We start from the raw sequence: 19798 nt of genomic DNA, 5'->3' as shown, positions 1-19798 counted from the left end.
GTTGGAAGGAACATTCCACATGCAACTTGCTCTTGAAAAACACAGCCACCTGTGCAGTAAACCTATAATCGAAAATGGCACTGACAGCTGAGAGTGCGTTCCTGCGGGTCAGGGAACCAGGACCTAACACTGCTTCACCGATATCAAACCGAATGTGACCCTGAATACATTTCTTTGCATCGCTGAGTCTGCTTTCTCACCTGTAGTATGTTGGCTTGGATGAGCCTCAAACTCCTTTCCAACTATTAAGACATGATACAAGTATTTTTTGCCTAAGAAATTAAGGATAAGAAGACTGCATCTCTTTTTCTCTTTTCCTGGCTTATTGGACCTTAGGTAGTATTTGAGCCACATTTAGTTTACTGTGCAAGATTATAGAGAGAGTCAACTTGAAGGATTGGTTTGAATAGGAATTTAGGAAGTAGCTTCCTGGATGTAAACCTAAACTAACTCAAGTCAACACATGCTTATATAAAGGGTACATCTATACTCTTAGTTATGCCTTCTTGTCACCTTGGGAAGTGCCTTTTTCTTAACTATTCCATTTGAAAACAGAGCTCAAAATTGTTGTTTGAAAGTTGTTCTTTTAGACTGATAGCAGTTTTGAGTTGAATTTTATAGATTTGCAAATCTACTTTTGTTTGTTCATTCAGAGGTGTTTGTGAATATTTTTGTGGCTACTATCCTAGCTTCAGGGGCTAAAATAACAAGACACACAGAAAGATCTAGCAGGGGATGCAGACCTCAAATAGAAAATTATGTTATCATGGGGTGAACACTTGGACAGGACACTCAGGGAGCTCTAGAGCACATAGCAAGGGCGCCTGGCTCAGGCTGGGCAGGGTCAAGGAAGGGCTTCCTGGAGGAGGTGATGTCCAGAAACCTGAAGGATCAATAGGAGTTAGTCAGAGGAAGAGCGGCAGGTGCAAGGGCATGAGAGTCAGAGTGGGGAGTATTTGGTGCATTTGCTGCAGGGAGAGAGGAAGCCACAGAGGGAAGGAAGCCAGTCCTGTCAGAGAGGCTGATGAAGTAGCCCGGAGAAGATGCTGGCCGGAGCTGGGATGTGGTAGAAGTGGATGAATTACAGAGAGATTTGGGAAGACAAATCTACAGAACTGAGGGATTGAGTGCCAGAGGTGCCAGGGAGTGTGCGTAGAGGGAAGGGGGTTAAGGATGACCCCCAAGTTTCTGGTTTAGGCAGTTGGGTAGGTAGGTGTTCATTCCACTCCCTGAAATAGCAAACAAGAGCAGGAGGAGGAGTTTGAAATGTCAGTTATCGGGGAACCTGCCCCGATATTCACATAGGTTCTTTTCTGTTTTTCCTAAGCATCAGCCGGCTTGAGAAATAAAGGGACAGAGTACAAAAGAGAGAAATTTTAAAGCTGGGCGTCCAGGGGAGACATCACACGTTGGTAGGATCTGTGATGGCCCCACAAGCCACAAAAAACAGCAAGTTTTTATTAGGGATTTTCAAAAGGGGAGGGAGTGTGTGAATAGGTGTGAGTAACAGACATCAAGTACTTAACTGGTTAATAGAATATCACAAGGCAAGTGGAGGCAGGTCGAGACCACAGGACTGAGGCGAAATTAAAATTGCTAATGAAGTTTCGGGCACCACTGTCATTGATAACATCTTATCAGGAGACAGGGTTTTGAGATCAACCGGTCTGACCAAAATTTATTAGGTGGGAATTTCCTCTTCCTAATAAGCCTGGGAGCGCTATGGGAGACTGAAGTCTATTTCATCTCCGCAGTTTCGACCATAAGAGACAGGCACACCTGGGGGGGCTGTTTATAAGCCTGTATCTCCAGGCGCGTATTCTCTTTCTCAGGGATGTTCCATGCTGAGAAAAAGAATTCAGCGATATTTCTCCCATTTGCTTTTGAAAGAAGAGAAATATGGCTCTGTTCCGCCCGGCTCACTGGTGGTCAGAGTTTAAGGTTATCTCTCTTATTCCCTGAACAATTGCTGTTATCCTGTTCTTTTTTCAGGGTGCCCAGATTTCGTATTTGTTCAAACACACATGCTGTACAATTTGTGCAGTTAACGCAATTATCCCATGGTCCTGAGGCAACATACATCTTCCTCAGCTGACAGGATTAAGAGATTAAAGTAAAGACAGGCATAGGAAAGCACAAGGGTATTGATTGGGGAAGTGATAAGTGTCCATGAAATCTTTACAATTTATGTTGAGAGATTGCAGTAAAGACAGGCATAAGAAATTACAAAAGTATTAATTTAGGGAACTAATAAATGTCCATAAAATCTTCACAATCCACGTTCTTCTGTCATGGCTTTAGCCGGTCCCTCCGTTTGGGGTCCCTGACTTCCCCCAACAGTCAGTGCGGCGTCAGAACAGAGATATCCAGTAGGCATGAGAGGCTGCACAGTGGCTCTCAGCTGAAAAAAGAGTGTGGGAATCCTCCCTGAAAGGATGGTTGGCAGAGACAGGAAAGTGGGTGAGGTCCCCCAGGAGGAGTGTGTGGAGAAGAGAAGCATGTCTAGAACAAGCCCAGCAGAACATCACCTTTTACAGGAGCCAGGAGACACTGGGTCACTCACTCAGATATTGATTGTCTGTGATGAGTACACACTCTGCCAAGCATTGTAAGAACTGCTTCGTGGAACTAGGCTGATACAGTCCCCATCCTCATGAAACTTTCACTCTAGTAATTTTCCATGAACCAGAGGAAATGAACTTCCCAGCGTCAGATGCTTTCGTGAGGCCAGGTAGGGTAAGAATGGAGAGTTGTCCAGGGACATATCCACAGGGAAATCGCTGGGGACCTGGTCGGTGAGGGCGAGTGGGGACCAAAGCCAGATTGCAGCAGGTAAGGAGGAGAGAAGAAAATGGTGGAGGCTTCTTTGGCCATTTGCCCTTTTACTGTACATCAGTGAATGTACATTTTGAGAATTCAACCTTCGCCTAAACCCCCTCTAAGGCACTGGCTTTGGCCAGAAGAGGCAGAAACAGTGACTGTCGACTTCCATGCTGCCATGAGTGAATGTTTCTTCCAGGTACTGAAGACTCAGCAGGTATTTCAGTTTTAGCCCATGAGAAGCTCAGAGGCTAAATTTTGTTGAGATTTTCTCCTCAGAGGAAATGCCAGGGTGTGTACAGAGTCACACATGCTCTTCAGCATCGTACGACAGGCCAGCCCCTGAGTCACATGATGCCCCATGTTGGTGGGTCTGTTTTTACTTTCTTCCAAAGTTCCTTGGGACTACCACTAGCAGGATTTTTTTCCTTCATTCATTTTGATTTCTTCAGGTTCAGTCAACAAGTGCTTGGTCCTGCTCTGACAGTAAACACTGCCAACAAGGACAGTTACAGCTAATGGCGTGGTTGCTGCTGAGGCCTAAATCATAAAACAAGGGCACACAGAGAGGAAAGCCACACGTATTTGACTTCCTGTATCTGTAACGGTTCCTGCAAAGCAGGACATTCACTTACCTATCTTCCGTTCCGCTGTTGCACCTATAGGACTTAACACACTTTCCAGAAACCCAGGGCATGAACCACAGTTCACTGCCCTCCTCACCAAAAAGTGTTTAGTCCCTTTATTGGTATAGCTTCCTATGAAAAGAGAATAATAGAATTTGTTTGACCGAGAACTCATCTTTCTAGGACTCTGCTAGGATGCTTTTATCCTGTATCTAATATGAACACGTAGCCATCATTCCTTCAAACATCTCCCTAGGGGGTAGGCTTAGAGGAAGTCACAACTGGCACTGGTTGAGTACAAACTATATGCCAGACCGTTTTAAATTGTACATGAATTATGTCATGTAATCCTTAACAGTCACCAGATGAGATTGGTGCTGTCGTTACTTACTTTGAGTGGATGAAGTTGCTTAACTGACAGGTTTAGTAACTTCATCCAGGGTCCTACAGTTAGGAAGTGACAGCGCCAGGGTTTGAGCCTGGGATCAGCAGCCCCAGAGCGCACATTTCTAACCACTATGCCACACTGCCTTGTAAATGTTTGTGAGTTCATGTCTCTCCTTTCCTTTAAGGGCATATTATCAAAAAGTCATGTTAATCCCATTGTGAAAATGAGGAAAAAGTTAACTACATTGACAAAAACATTGTTTCAGAGTTAAATATGGTGCTGAAACAGTTGATTCTAAAACTTGATTTTTTTTCTAAAGTAGTGAAATAAATTATTTGTTTCCATACTATGTTAGCAAAACAATTTGTATTTCCTCTATTTGAAGAGCTTGAGCATTTTCGCTCATACTTTCAGATGTACATATTTGTAAAACTTTTACGTTTAATGCAGTCTTTATCACGTGTCTTACACTGTGCAAACATTAGAATTGTCTGCACAGTTGCCCTGAGGAAGAATTCAGTGCCCTAGCCTTCTTTTTGTGGTTGAGGTTTCTAATAACTCTTATTCCAGAAGACAGAGGCTGCATAAAGCTACCCCACCCACCCTTCTATATTAAAAATGCTCACTTGGGAAGGGGAAAAGGAAATAGCTTGAAGATGTGGAATGTCAAAGTCATAGAAATTGGTAAATGATGGAGAGTGTGCCTGCCTTGACAGTAGGGTAGAGATCAAAATGTACCTTCATTCATGCACAGTAAAAGGGCAAATGGCCAAAGAAACATCCACCATTTCCTTTTCTCCTCCTCACTTCATCACCTGCTGCAATCTGGCTCCCACCCACCGTCACCGACCACGTCCCCAGCGATTTCCCTGGGGATACATCACCCAGACTAGAGAGAGAGGAGGCATTTGAAATGTCAGGGTGGCGTCAGAACAGAGATATCCAATAGGCATGAGAGGGTGCACAGGGTGTCTTAGCTGAAAACAAAGGGCTTGGGAATCCTCCCTGGAAGGACGGTCAGCAGAGACAGGGAAGTGGGTGAGGTCACCCAGGAGGAGCGTGTCGAGAAGAGAAGCACGTCTAGAACGAACCCAGGGGAAAGTCGTCATTCACGGCTCGGTAGAGATCATGCCATGCCTTCTCTCTCTGATACAGCAGTGTTTTGTAGACTCTAGAAACGTTTGTTAAACTGTAATAGATGAAATGAAATGTATTAATAGAGCCAAACTGTTTTGTTTTTTTTCGAGACGGAGTCTCGCTCTGTCACCCAGGCTGGAGTGCAGTGGTGCAATCTCAGCTCACTGCAAGCTCCGCCTCCTGGGTTCATGCCATTCTCCTGCCTCAGCCTCCCTAGTAGCTGGGACTACAAGCGCCTGTCACTACGCTTGGCTAATTTTTTTGTATTTTTAGTAGAGACGGAGTTTCACCGTGTTAGCCAGGATGGTCTCGATCCCCTGACCTCGTGATCCACCCGCCTCGGCCTCCCAAAGTGCTGGGATTACAGGCATTAGCCACCGCGCCCGGCCAAGCCGAACTCTTAAAAACATTGTTTGTTTGTTTTTTTAACTTTTAAAAAAAGTCTTTGCTTTCCCTTTTCTGCCATCCTTTGGGTTTTCTTTCCATGATCAGTTAGGATTTTTGACTCTTCCAAAAAGCCTACCATTCATTGTGTTCACAAATCATAAATACTCCTTTTTATGATCAGACATCGGGGGGGAAAATGCTATCAAAACAGTCTACTAAATGCTATCAAAACAATCTACTGGTACCTCTGGTTTGAAATATTTGGGGAAGGCTAAAAACACTTACTACATTTTAGCCTTTTATAAATGAAATGATTTGCAAGAATATTATATTCATTGCTATTATATATAACTATATTCCTTTCCAAATGATCGTTATGGTACAAAGAACAATCTTTCTAGAGGGCTGGGCATGGTGGCTCACGCCTGTAATCCCAGCACTTTAGGGAGGCTGAGGCTACAGGATAGCCTGAGCTCGGGAGTTCAAGACCACCCTGGGAAACATAGCGAGACCCCCAACTCTACAAACAATTCAAAAAATTAGCTGGGCATGGTGGTGCACACTTGTGGCCCCAGCTACATGGGAGGATTGCTTGAACTCAGGATGTCGATGCTGCAGTGAGCCGTGATCACACCACTGCATTCCAGCCTCAGTGACAGAACAAGACCCTGTCTCAGAAAAAAAAAAAAAAAAAAAAAAAAAACTGCGTAGAGAATCTCTGGTGACATAGTTTAATTAGTAATCTCAATTCTTATTCTTCCCAGGTTTTCTTTCATATGAGTCATTATAACTTCTAGTTTTCCATACTTTTAACTTGTTGATGACAAGTTTGAAACTGTCATTTCAAATATTTAGCGTTATAGGTGCAGACAAGTCCCATTTCTTAGATTGTAGCTTGACATGTAATTAGTGTGATTTGCATTAGCATAATCATGAAGATGGAACTGAAGGAAATAAGTTATATTCTAACAATGGAATCACTTTCATGGCAACAAGTCTCAGAACATGCATGTACAGATGTCTTGAGGTTTTTTTTAAGAGCAGAACAGTGCTTTAAAAAAAAATAACCATTGTCAAATTCTGACAGCTGCTATGACTTGTTTTATTCTTTAATTCTTTCCTTTTTAATGGAAGGGCATCTCCCATTCATGGCTCCAGCAGTTTCGCCTCCTCTAAATGAGACAGAGAAATGTGAACCTCCCTGGTGGTCGATCTTTTCACAGCTGCGCTGCAATTCCAGTGTGACATCAAATTAGTAATTATAGCTGAGCGGGCTGCTTTTTACAAATGACAGTCTTAGCATGCTGCCTGCTAGCGAGCGACTCAGCAGGGGACCTGGGGAAGTAAAAGAAAACATAACTGGACTCACTTGATTTCTGGGGGATTTGACCTGACTCTTTAAAAAGCCCATGTTCTTGAGAGAGAGAGTCCTGGGGATTTACACAAATATGCATTTTGTTCATCATCCTGCACAGTTCTTCTCAAAACTCATGTCTGATTTTATTAGGTAAAGTAAAGTATGTGTAATGGAGCCATAGGGTCACAATAAGAAGATCCCTTTTAACATACAGCCTTCTTCCTGAAACCCATTTGAAAGAAAACAGCTGCCCTGCAATTGGCATTTGTGTAACTGTATTGGCAATAATCATTGTTGACACTTTGATAATGGGCTACAAAAAGCCGCCTTGTCGATTCTCAGGCACTGTGAATTGCACCAGCAATTAAGTGACTGTCACCGTCTCCGACGTTTTACCTATTACCAACTGAGGGTTCGAGAGGATTAATCATTAATACCCTTACGTCTAAAAATGCTTTTCGAAACCAGTTTTCAGCATTTCTTTTGTGGTCTTTAAATTGTAACAAATTATAATTAATTACTACCCCTATCTGGTCATCTGGGCTGCCATTGAAGTGAGGTGGCCAGGGCGGCGGGCTCCCCAAACGTGACACAAAAGCACAGCAGCGTATCCTTCTGGAAATCTTTATTTGCCGCTCAGCTAAGAAGTGCCTCTTTTTCCACTGTGGGCGGATCATCGGTTAAAGGGGGGTTGTCAAGCTTTTTAGGCCCTCAATTCAGCTAATGCTTTAACCGCCTTCTGTAAAATTCCTTTTCTTCCGAGATAGAAGGGAATCATTTCCCTTTGCCAGCCAGTGTTAGTTAGGGACACCAATCCTACTACCCAAAGTGCAGGGGAAAGTTTCCCACTAGGGCAGAAGCAGGGCTTCTTTCTCAGACCTTAAAGGTGGCACCAGTAACATCTACCTTCTGGACCAGAGACATTTTATAAAAGGGAGATTTGGGTGAAGGACTCCAAACAGAGGGTTAGGGGATCTGAGTCCCAGCCCTGGGGGCACAGGGCTGCATTAATGGGGTTTGAGTATAGGTCATCTGACTTTGTCCTCGTTTGTAAAATTAAAGGATTTGCTTGCGTCATTGCTCCTCATGCTGTAGTGTTGGTGAGAATCTCTTGTTTCAAATGAAGCTTTCCTGGACCTTCCTCCAGAGATGTGGTTCAGCAGTCGGCCCCACTTGGAGAAGTCCTGGCCTGACCATCACTAAAATCTTCTCTATTCCAGATATAGATTAAGGTGATTGCTATGATTGATGGGGAAAAAAATGTTCTGTTCAGCAAATATAGATAAGAACCCCATAAACCATGAGGGGTATTCTGGAAATGAAGTTTTAAAGCTTCATTTAGAATATCTCGTAACTGGTAAGCATGGCACGTGACAAAAAGAGAGGATCACATGCAGTGACTCTTGTGAGCACTTTCCAGATTTTCACTCAGATGACAGCATTAAAATCCTCAAGGCTTTATGACTTATGGCTTATGGTGCTTCATCAGCTCTCATTTGCCTCAGATTAATTTTTATCTCACTGGAATGAAATCAACTCAGAGTATCCCAAGCACACGTGGAGCACTGCTGTTAGGTATGGGAATGTTTTCACGCTAACAACTCGTAGTTGGTTCTAGAAAAAGTTGGGGTGGAGAGAAGACTTCCAAAATTCAGTATGTGGTCTGAATTTAAACCAAGCTGCTACAGATGTGTAATTCTTAATTAAATAATGATCTTTAACATGGTAGTATTAAACCAGAGATCTAGAGGAGTTAGCAAACTCCTTGAGTGTTCAGCCTTTGACATTTCTTAGATTATCACCATAGATATCTGCGCACCAGAATCTTCTGTTACGACTGGAACGAAGCCATCCCGTAGGTCCTATTTTGTAGGTCTTGTATGCAGTTCAGCTGTCATATCCCAGTTTGTGGAGGAAGACCAAACCGTCACCTTTGACATTACCACATAGAGTTGTCATAAAATATGACAGTATTAAAAAAGGAATAAATTTTACTTTTTACGTATTAGCTTGAGGGAAAATTGCCAACAGCTAGGTCTTGCCAGCCCTAACAGTTATAACTTAACGCTTCTCCAGTTTTGCGCGGCTTACTTACAGCACTGTTTCACAAGTATGTTGAGGTATATTCTCTTTCCACATTCATACATAAACAGATTCAAAATAAAAATTATAAGATGTTCACATCTGGATGCTAGTCACAGATGTGCACATTCTCACTGTTTTCACTGTGAAAATTAGAAGTTATTAATGACCTCTTAGATCATTTCTCAAACCATGAACTTGTATAGACATTCTGCTTATGTAGTTAAAGGAGGTTGGCATATGTACTATTTGTGCAAAACCACCCTTTTTCTTTGCTACTTCTGTATGAACTTTATCCGTATCCACTAATTTGCCTTTTGATGTATCAAATTTGTGGCTTAGATGTTCCAAGAAGCAGAACTGATTTTATTATAAATCTCCAGCATCTCTTATTACCCCAGAATTGATACCAAATATGTTACTCCATCAAATTATTTTTATCCTAGCTCCAACATAAGGATTACCTAAAATTCCTTCCCTTATAGAAATACTTGTGAATTATGTTTTCAGTTCCATAGATGCTGATTTTTATGAAGATTTTTGCAAGCACGGCAAAAGGGGTTTTATTCTTTTTTGCAAGTTTATTTTCATTTGGGTGAGCTTGGAATTACAAGTAAATCAGGAACACAAGCAGTTCTAACATAAAACAATAATTACTACGTATTTTTTATGTGGAGCATTCAGCTCTGAGTGTCACAGTGACAGCGTATCAAAAGGACACCCGGCAGCAGTCTTTGACATTGAGGCTTACAATTAGACTTAAAAAATAATAAATAGGTTGCCAAATGAGCATATCAAACAAAAAATTCATTCCGAAATACAAGTCCTTTAATCACAGAGTACTATGATATGTATTATCCTTTGCATTAAAACCTAGTGCCAAAATCCTGTTTGCATTAGACACTCAAGTGTGACTGGGTGCATTTCTTCTTCCCAGTAAAGTTTCCATCCAGACTAAAATAAAAACTTGGCTCTATATTATAAAGATTTTGGCTCTGTGCATTTTAGGTTCATGTATTTTCTATTTCCAGTTATTAATGGCCATTTACCCATACTGTTGGCTCTTGTTGTATAATTAAAGTTTAGAATGATCATTAAAAATCCAATGATATTTTAGTTTGAATTCTGTTTAATGTTTCAAACTATAGTTTGAAATTTGTGATTTTTAAAAATTTTGTGTCATCTGAAAGATAGTTTTTTAAAATCTCACTAAAATAAAATGTTCATATAACTTCTGGCTTTACTAAACCTTAGAATATCCAATATTGCTCAACTCCATATGAATGACAGCAGTTATGCATCAAATTACAGAACCTCATGAAATAAGCACATATGTACACATACACGTGAGTTAATTCCCACTTCAAACAAACAAAGCATTTAACTCTTTTGGTAAACACATTGTTTTGGTTTTGGTTTTAGAGATTCTGCAAAAGTTCTTAGTCATTTGGAATTTTTAAGCATAAAAGTACTAAATAATATTAAGCAGGAATTTTTTAGGTGTTGCTTTTTAGCTCCTTTTTATCAGTTCTGGGAAGCAAACAGTGCTGCATCTCCTTTGCTCTCATAGAATTCTGTAATTTTTATACCACAGGTCTCTGCTAAAAGGCGGCATGTGTTTAGAAATTCTAAAAATGAGGGCTCTGAACTTTGTAACTGTCCTGATACGTTTTCCCTTTTTTAATCCCAACCCCCTGGCCAAATCTGTCCTTAGAGATCATTGATACCTTGTATTGAACCCTAGGGCGTAAGTAATTCCGTTGAGAGGCTTTTATACACTGAAAGCCTTACGCGTGTGTTGGTTATCTTCAGGCTCTGACTCAGCTGAGTGTGCATCTCACTTCGCACATTCATGTTGTGTCTTAATGACACACAAACTATTTTTGACCATGACCTGTATTGTCACACAGTGTGTTTCTTACTGTTGACTTACAGTAGACTTGCTGAGGCCTGTGATGCTGTGCTTTAAAAGCCAAAAACTTTGCAAAATGAGGGAGAAATGTCTATAATAAATGTATTATATATACACAAATGTTTATAATAAATTTTCTTTTTACAACTCATAGCAAGTTAAATGTTCCCAGTGGGTTCACTGCTCCCTAGGAGTGAGTTCACCATTCCCTAGTATTTTGGTTATATTTTCTGGCTACTAAGATTTCAGCTTCTGTGGATTTTTGCTTTAGGTCAGCAAAACAGCATTCACTAAATTATCCACTATTATAATGTGCTGAGAAAAAACTAACCCATGGAAAATTAAGGTAAGACAGAAGTCAGCAAATTTCTGTCTTTGGCCAGATACGTAAAATCATTACATTTTATTCCATATATTGAATAAAGATCATAAATTTCAAATTCTTTATTACTTCAGGAATTTAACCAGTCCAATTTTTATGATAAGATAGGGACATTTTACTCTCATTTGGGTTTCAGTTTAAACAAAAGGTCTTTTCAGTGAGGTTTCCTACTAGGAATAGCTTTTGCAGGTGATCACAGAGGTTTTTCTAGCTGGTAGCATTCACAATTGAGGTTTGCAAAGCAGTGTAGGGAACTAGAGCCGCCACGACAGGGAGGTTGGCGCCTCGGGCCATGTCACCTTCGATGCATCCTGTCTCATGTGCCCTCTGTGTTCCCCGTGGGTCCTGTGTAGTGAAATGAAATACTAACTTTGCCCTCATGTATGGTAGGTTTGTGTGCAGTGTGCAGTGACAAAAGTGTCTTCCAAATTTGAAGACAGTATGTAGAGAATTCATGTGACATGTTTGTAACTAGCAGATAAAACCTAAAAACAAAGGAAATTTTAAACATCGTTTAAATAAAGCTTGTCGCTCACGGGCTGCATGGGGCCCAGGACGGCTTTGAATGTGGCCCAGTACAAATCCGTAAACTTTCTTAAAACATGATGAGATTTTCTTGTGATTTTTTTTTTTTTTTTAAGCTCATCAGCTCTCATTAGTGTTCACTGATTCTATGTGTGGCCCAAGACAATTCTTCTTCCAGTGTGGCCCAGGGAAGCTAAAAGATTGGACCCCCAGGTTTAGATTACCGACATCATAAATTGTTTTTTTTTTTTAATTATCCAGGTATCAACTAGAAGGTATCCTAAGTTTAAAGACCCTATTTTAGAAGAAATAGACATAGCAAGTTACTATTGCCAGGCACTATGTGCTTTGTGTCATTTGATTTACACACTAACCCTATTACATAGGTACAGTATTATTAATTACCCATTATATAAGTAAGGAAACTGAGGTTTGGGCAGACTAAGCAACTGGCCCAGAACATCACAGCTAGTGTTAAAATGTTAAATATGTCAGTATATTTTTTAAAAGAAAAATCTTGCTCTGGATTGATCAGCGATGCGCTTTTCCTAGATCCATAAGCCATACTTGAGAACATGATTAGCATATAACGACGTTTGTATATAACACACTGTGTGGCAGGCACCATTTTAGGCCTTTTTACATGTGTGAACTCATGCAACCCTCACAACCCTATGTTTGCAAATCCCCCTTTAAAGATGGGAAACCAAGTCACAGAGAGGTAACTTAACTTGCCAGAGTCACATAGCTAATAATTGGAGTTGCGGAGCTACAACCCAGGCAGCCTGGATCTAGTGTGTTCACATAACCATGGGCTTCAGTTTGTCTCCTACGTGGAAAGCTGAGCCATGCCTAGTCGACCTGGGGTCGGGCATCACTCCGTATGACAGTGAAGGGCTCATTTTATCCGAACGGGAAGCAGGACAGCCAGGCTGCGGGGGGAACGGCGTCCCTCTGCTGATGCCTGTGGCTGTGTTTGTGCATTTACACGTCACATTAGCGGAGATGAATGCCACTTGGAATCCAACCCACCGCAGCAGATTACCTCATGCAAGAGAGAAAACAGCCCTGCCTGTGCTAGCCTGGCTCTGCGTTGGGCTGTATTTACTCACGGGGCCTCAGCTGGCCAGGGCCTTGGAGCAGCTCTGGGGCCCCCGACCCGGGCAGGAATCCCAGCTCAGGACTAGACGCACAGAGGAGGACGGGGTGGGGAAGAGCAGTTCCCTCCCATACCCTCGTCCCCTCCCAGCAAGTACAGAGGGTCGTACAGCAATCGTCCCGCCTTACTTAGAGGCTCTGATCTGCACAAAACTGGCCAGAGCTGAATTCAGCGCAAATAAAGACTCGGCCCGCCGCCACTTCAGAAAGGTTGCTGACCGCTGGCTGGAAGCCGGCCTCGGAGAGTCCACAGCTGAGAAGCATTTCTGAGCTGTCTTTAGTTAGCCCTGGGGGTTTCTTCCACCCTCTGGCTGTTTCTGCACTGAACTAGAAAAGATATCAAAGACACTCATTAAAGAACCAGACCCAGTGACTACAAGCTTGGAAAACTCTAAGCGCAAATAATCCAGTGTTTAAAAGCAAAGTGTAGAATCTGTTGCTACATTAAGCTGTCGCTGCCCACAGTTAATTTTCTGCTGCTCTGCAGACGTCATCTTTGTAGGCAGTTTTACACCAAGAGTTTATTAAGTTCATTAAATCATAGTATAGTTTTCCACATTTAAAAAAAAGATGTTTCTAATATAAGCACTGCTCATTATCAGAGAGATATATTGAAATTTCTTTTAAAAAGCTAAGTAGTAAGATTTTCTTGAGAGTGAATCATTGTCAGGTGACTTAACCTTTGTCATCTCGTTTTTTTCTTTTTGTTTTTGAGGTAGGGTCTTACTATGTCACCCAGGCTGGAGTGCAGTGGCGCGATCATGGCTCTCTGCAACTTTGACCTCCCGGGCTCAAGCGATCCTCCTACCTCAGCCTCCCAAATAGCTGGGATGAGAGGCACACACCACCACGGTTATCTCATATGTTTTATTACTTTTTTGTAGAGATGGAGTCTCACTATGTTAGCCAGACTGGTCTCGAACTTCTGGGCTCCAGTGAACCTCCTGTCTCAGAGTCCCAAAGTGCTGAGATTGCAGGTGTGAGCCGCCACGCCCAGCCTATCTTGTTCTTAATTTAAAAAGAACAGTTAAGTTTTTGTAAAAAAAAAAAAAAAAAAAAAAAAGTTTTTCAACCTGTAATACCCATTTCAAGTCTGTGCGCTTTATTAAATGCTCACAGTGATGATGATGACGATGGGGGTGGTGATGGGGATTATAAGCACCACTATTTGAATCTGTCACATGGTTTCTGATTGAGTTCCCAGCACAACTCTACCTTAGCAGAATGATTAAGGTTCCCATCTCAGCTCATCACTCACCAAACTCTGAGACCTTAGTTAAATTGCATGATCTCAGTTTCCTTGAATGTAAAACGTGAATAATAGTTAAGGTTGTTGCAAAGACTGAAGATAGATGATAGATGTGAATAAAATGACGCACACAAAGTGCTAAGCAGGTTACCTAAGGCTGCTGCGTGTTTTCCCCTTTCTGCATCTATGGAAACAGGCTGGAGAGGTCCAGGAACCTGGCCCCTGGTCCCTGGCAAGCAAGGGGTGGAACCAGGATTGCAACCTCAGGATTCATGACCCCAAAACCTTCGTGCCCCTGAGCACTCTGTCTTGCAGCAAGCATTTGGGAGGTTGATATCTGTAGGCCAGTGTTAGATTCCATGCTGGCAGCTGCCCTGCCAGGATCCGCCTTCGCCTCTTGATCCTTTCAGTAAGCCCTTAAGTCTTTTAGCCAATCTGGGTGCCCTTTTTTGAGCTTGATCCAATCTAAATACGACCCTAGTGCCTGTGAAATTCACAAGTCAGCTTAGTCATAGAGTACATGGTGTCCAGAGTTTTATGAGGTAGGATTATACTTTCCCTGTCACATGAGGTAATTCTGCTGGGGTGAACCTGAAGTGGCATTCATCTTCATTAATGTGACTTGTGTTACAAACACACATCCAGCATGTAATTTACTGCCTTGTCGGGGGTCTGTCATCTCTGCCTTCAGGTTTCTCACATTTATACAAAACCAGAAAAAAACACCCTCTACCCTTCTTTTCTTACACTTATAAAATGGGTTGTGGAATTGAGGCAGATATCCTTAACACCCCCACCCACACGCCTCCCATCGCCAACACATAATGACACAGAAATGCCCAAGGTGTCTGCTGGGAAAATTACGATCCTTCTCCATCTCTCCTGTTTTTGTGTGTAGGTCTGGCTTCAACCCTTTTTTCTAACGTGCTTCCAATTTTCTGTTTTGGGCAGTGCTTATGTTCTCACTGCCCTCTGAGTTTTGTTAAACTTCAGAACCTTGCATTTCATTCTTGGTGAAACTTCATTATGTTTACAGTTCTAATAGGAGAGAAACCTTATAATCTAGTGTGATGAACTCAAACATTTTAATATTGTGCTGTCTTCACATTTCAAGGTTTGTGGGAATGGGGGGTGCACGTATTGCATTATTTTAAAATTATTAATGACAGATTTAGGGGGTAAGTCTAGCAGGCGCATCCTGACATTTTGTGAAGAATGGCGTTGCATTCTCATTTCTTAAAGACTCAATAACTCAGCATAAAAGTGTTTGGAATTAGATCAGTCTTTCCTAGAATCTTAGTATTTATCTTTACATCTTACATACACATCCCATCCTGCTTTATTTTCTACCTACGTGCTTTCATATCATTCTCCCGTACGAGATTACAAACTCCTTTACAGCAGAAATTGTGACCTATTCATATTTGCATCTCTCTACTTGACTCACTCAGTAACTGCTGATTGAATTGAATCTTGACATTTCTGGGCCTTGCTGTACCTGCTTTGTAAGGATTAATTCTGTTTGGCTTATAAAGATTGTGGTTATATCTAATTCAAAGTTGCAAAACTGTTTAAATTTTCTCAAAGTTAGTAGCCAAAGCGACTAATTTAGAAATGCATAATTTATGTACATATGTGTTGCTGTAAATAGATGTGACTGTTTACATGCATGTCTATACTTTATAAATAGGAGGGGAAGTGAACAGTTCGAGCATGTGAAAGATGCAGGCGATGGACCCAGGGAGTGTTCTTTCATTGCTCTGAATAAGGAGGGAGGAGGAACAGTGCCGGAGCCAGGAAGGACAGCAGCTTGTTTCCTTGGATTATTTTGTTTACATTTGGTTCACACCTACAGAAAAGAGGACCATTCCAGGTTCATCAACATACAGGCAAAGGCAGTGCATGACATTGGATTTCTTTCTGCTGAAATAAACAAGCTATGGTTAGCCGAAAGGGGTGGGAGATTATTTTGAGCTCGTACTGAATGCAGGTTGCACAAAGTTAAATAGAATAATCCACACTGTTTTAAAACTATATGCCTATATTATCCTGTTTGCTGCAATACAAGCTACAGTGTTTTCTGCTCATGATCCATGTTTTGATAGTTGCTCATTGCTTTGTGTTGGTTGCCATAAGTGCAGTTTACTTATTAGCTCACCCTCTCGTTCATTTGTAAAAGGTAGAACTCTGATCTTAATACGTTTATGTTAAGAGAAGACCCTTTTTCTTTGATATTGTCCAAATGAGAAGAGAATTTCCTTCTTGGAGTGGTGAACAGGAAGGCTTGGAAGGGCAGATGGCTAACCTCGTGCTGCATGTCTCCCTGGTGCAGAAAGTAGATATGATTATGGATAGAGCTGTTCTGAGACAAGATAACATGTTATTTGCAATGTGAGCCCAGCAACGGCTCCCCAAAAGTGGGAGGAGGGATGGAGTTGGGTTGTAAGAAAATTGAGGGTTCCTGGGAAAGTATTCCAAGAATACAAATTTTATACTTAGAAGACTTCTTGTAAGAAAGTGAGTCTAAGAAAGCAGTCAGGTTCATTCCTCTGAAAAACATGAAATGTGTTACAAAAAGCCTTATGATATGGAGTCTGTCTGACCCCCACCCCACTGCTCTTGCGAATGCTTCCAGAGATTGGGGCTCACTGGCGCCCCCCGGTGGTATTCAAGCCTTCTCCTATTTTATTGTTTGGGTAAGACCCCTGTGGTGGTGAACGGGGTGGGGGCGGTGAAAGGGGCAAACTTCAGTGTCCAGGGTTGGAAGGTGTATGTGGTTTTTTTAGGTTTTCTTCAAGCGCCTTTGTCATTGTTTTTCTCATTTGTTTTAGGCCAAAGAACTGCCAACTCTGAAAGATAATGATTTCATTAATGAGGGCCAAAAGATTTATATTGATGACAACAACAAGAAGGTCTTCCTGGAAAAACTAAAAAAGGATGTTGAGGTAAGAACAGTCAGTGGAGAGGCCAGACTCATTGTATAAATATCAGCCCTGTTGGGTTTTAGGAGCTTTTTAAACCATCTATTTAAATCTTCAATCAAGGCAAAAACCTGCATACTCTACCTTAGGGAAGTCAGACATGAAGGTGTCTCATGTTACATGATCTGGTTTAAAGCAAACGCATGCCAGTTTAGCAGCCCTCTCATTTAGGCACCAAACACAAGAAAGCACCTGCTGTCATCCGCTGGGAATCCCCGGTCCCAGGCCCCTGTATTCTGTATTGGGATGGCCCATGAAGACTGACCTGCCCACACCAGCCAGTTTGGGAGGGGCCAGGGGAGTACTGGACTCTGTGTCAACCAGCAGAGCATCTCAAAAACAAATATTCAGTCACTATTACAGTCTTGGCACTTTTCCCTCTAAAGCACAAGTCAGTGCTGGTTAACATAGCCTGGGTCACTTAATGCTTTCCTATCTCCACCAGTCACCACAAACCATGTCATGAGGCCCAGTGAGGCCCCCTTACACATTGTGGGACTAGCACAGGGGCAGCTTGGGATACTAGGTCATAGGGGACAGTGGAGAGACATAGAACAGTGTCCAAGGGGCTTTCGTCCATAATGATGGAGTTTTGCTTTTAAACACTGTTCTAAACATTTAAAATGTACCTTTTCCTGTCATTTAGTTTATGATAAAGGCATTGCAGCTTTTCCATTGGATTTGCTCATTATTTAAGTCTTTTATAAATCCAGGAAAAAAGGAAAAAAAGGTTATTTTCTTTCCTTTCTTTTTTTTTTTTTTTTTTTTTTTTTTTTTTTTTTTTGAGATGGATTCTCACTGTCTTCTAGGCTGGAGTGCAGTGGCGCGATCTCGGCTCACTGCAAGCTCTGCCTCCCAGGTTCACGCCATTCTCCCGCCTCAGCCTCCTGAGTAGCTGGGACTACAGGCACCCGCCACCACGCCTGGCTAATTTTTTGTATTTTTATTAGAGACGGGGTTTCACCGTGTTAGCCAGGATGATCTTGATCTCCTGACCTCGTGATCCACCCGCCTCTGCCTCCCAAAGTGCTGGGATTACAGGCGTCAGCCACCAAGCCCGGCCAAAAAAAGGTTATTTTCTTGGACTTCGTTGAGTTACAAAACAATGCAGTGGGAATTAGAATTTAGGCAGCTACTAAACTCAGCTTTTCTTAGCTGTTGCTTTCATTCATTTGTGTACACTTCATGGCACACCAGTACGGATCTGCTACTTAGAGAGAGGCTTTGTGGGAAGATTGTCTTTTTATGTCATTAAACCAAAAAAAAAAAAAGAAAAAGAAAATGACGAAAGCCACAGAATGAGTGTCATACATTTGTATTTCCCATGAAGGCGGAAGCAGTATAATTTATTTTTAATCTTCTAACAGTTCTTTTTATTACAAGAAACTCACACTGACCAAGTTATTAGTAGTTAATATTTTTAGATCATAAATTAGTTTAATAAAATTTTTTACATTATTTTACCTTTATAGTATACATACTTGGATTATTTATAGTATACATACTTGGATTAGAACCTATATATTGGTTATTTGTGAAGGGTGTAAGTATCTACTTTCTTGTTGCCATTGTTTTTAGAGACAGTCTTGCTGTGTTGGCTAGAGTGGGGTGGCATGAGCATAGCTCACTGCAGCCTTGAACTCCCAGCTCAGGCAGTCCTCCCGCCTCAGCCTCCATAGTAGCTGGGACTACAGGCATGCACCACGGTGCCTGGCTAATTTTTGAATTTTTTTTTTTTTGTAGAGACTAGGGTCTTGCTTTGTTGCGCAGGCTGGTCTTGAACTCCTGGCCTCAAGCAATCCTCCCACCTCAGCCTCCCAAAGTGCTGTGATTACAGGCATGAGCCACTGTGCTTAGCCTGTAAGCATCTACTTCAAACAAACAAAACGATACAAGTGTTTGCTTTTCTCTTCTAACATTTTCCTCCAGTCTTTCATTAAGGAATGTTTAGTTTTCCTCAGTTGTGAGTGGTTACTAATAAAATGTATTAGTTAAGCATTTCCCCCTTGCTTTGGGATCTGTTTGATCCAACTGATAAGTATCCTTAGTAAACATACTCTTGGATTTTTATTGATTAATCAGCAAATCCTTGATACTGAGAAGAATATGGTTTTAGCAATTATGGTAAGTAGCCCTTAGGGTTATCTGTGACCTATTAAAAAAATGGTTTTTTTCTGTTGGCAGTATATCACTATGATATTTAGACTCCAGAAATAATGTAATTCAAGCAGTTCAAATTTACAGTTGAATTACAGAAGGATCCTCTTAGCTCTTTTGTTGTCTCTAATAATACCATTGATTAGAGGACTCTATAGTCTAATCCCATACATGGCTCAAGCACTTAGCTGTTTCGTTGAAATGGAGGCAGGGTGTAAAACATCCTTTCATTTAAAAATATTCTCAATAGCTGATAACAGTGTCTTTAGTTTTGAAATTTATGCAGAACCATCATTAAATTTTTAAGCAGGTAATTATGGTGAAGTAGCTTGACATCTGATCTTGATAATGAGGCTAGAATTTAATCGAGTTTTCTGTTTTCATCAGTTCCATGCTTTCTAATTTAGCTGACTGACCCATTGGAGTTTCATTGCAGTTTTTTGTTGTTGTTGCTGTTTTTCCTTAATGCCTCGAGTAGGAGATCTGAGTGTATTACAGCTCAAGAAATCTAGATTTTAGGAAAACTAATTTTCATCTGAGGTTCTAGTTGCTGTTTTTCTGTAACAGCAGCCCTGTTCTATTCCTATGCCATGCTGGGTATTTTCATCCACATAGCTTTGCACGTAACACAGGTGAG

General features: G+C 41.5%; 2 protein-coding genes and 1 pseudogene across 7 annotated transcripts in view; 2 read left to right on the top strand and 1 right to left on the bottom strand.

The window, feature by feature from the left end:
• Positions 1–19798, top strand: part of PIP4K2A (phosphatidylinositol-5-phosphate 4-kinase type 2 alpha) — a 179725-nt gene that overhangs the window by 146952 nt on the left and 12975 nt on the right. For all 6 annotated transcript variants that reach the window (XM_006717450.3, NM_005028.5, NM_001330062.2 and 3 more), the window contains one exon: positions 16855–16968. In XM_006717450.3, coding sequence (XP_006717513.1) covers positions 16855–16968 — 114 coding nt within the window. The remainder of the gene's footprint in view (positions 1–16854; positions 16969–19798) is intronic.
• On the bottom strand, positions 3905–3977 carry TRP-GGG1-1 (tRNA-Pro (GGG) 1-1; annotated as a pseudogene).
• LOC124902393 (uncharacterized) lies at positions 12332–13130 on the top strand. Its single transcript, XM_047426113.1, has one exon. The coding sequence runs from the start codon at positions 12427–12429 to the stop codon at positions 13042–13044; it is 618 nt and encodes a 205-aa protein (XP_047282069.1). The 5' UTR covers positions 12332–12426; the 3' UTR covers positions 13045–13130.

This window comes from Homo sapiens, chromosome 10 (assembly GCF_000001405.40).
Source record: "Homo sapiens chromosome 10, GRCh38.p14 Primary Assembly".
Classification (NCBI taxonomy): Eukaryota; Metazoa; Chordata; class Mammalia; order Primates; family Hominidae; genus Homo; species Homo sapiens.
The sequence above is the reverse complement of the archived record's forward strand: the minus strand, read 5'-3'. Positions and strand labels throughout refer to the sequence as shown.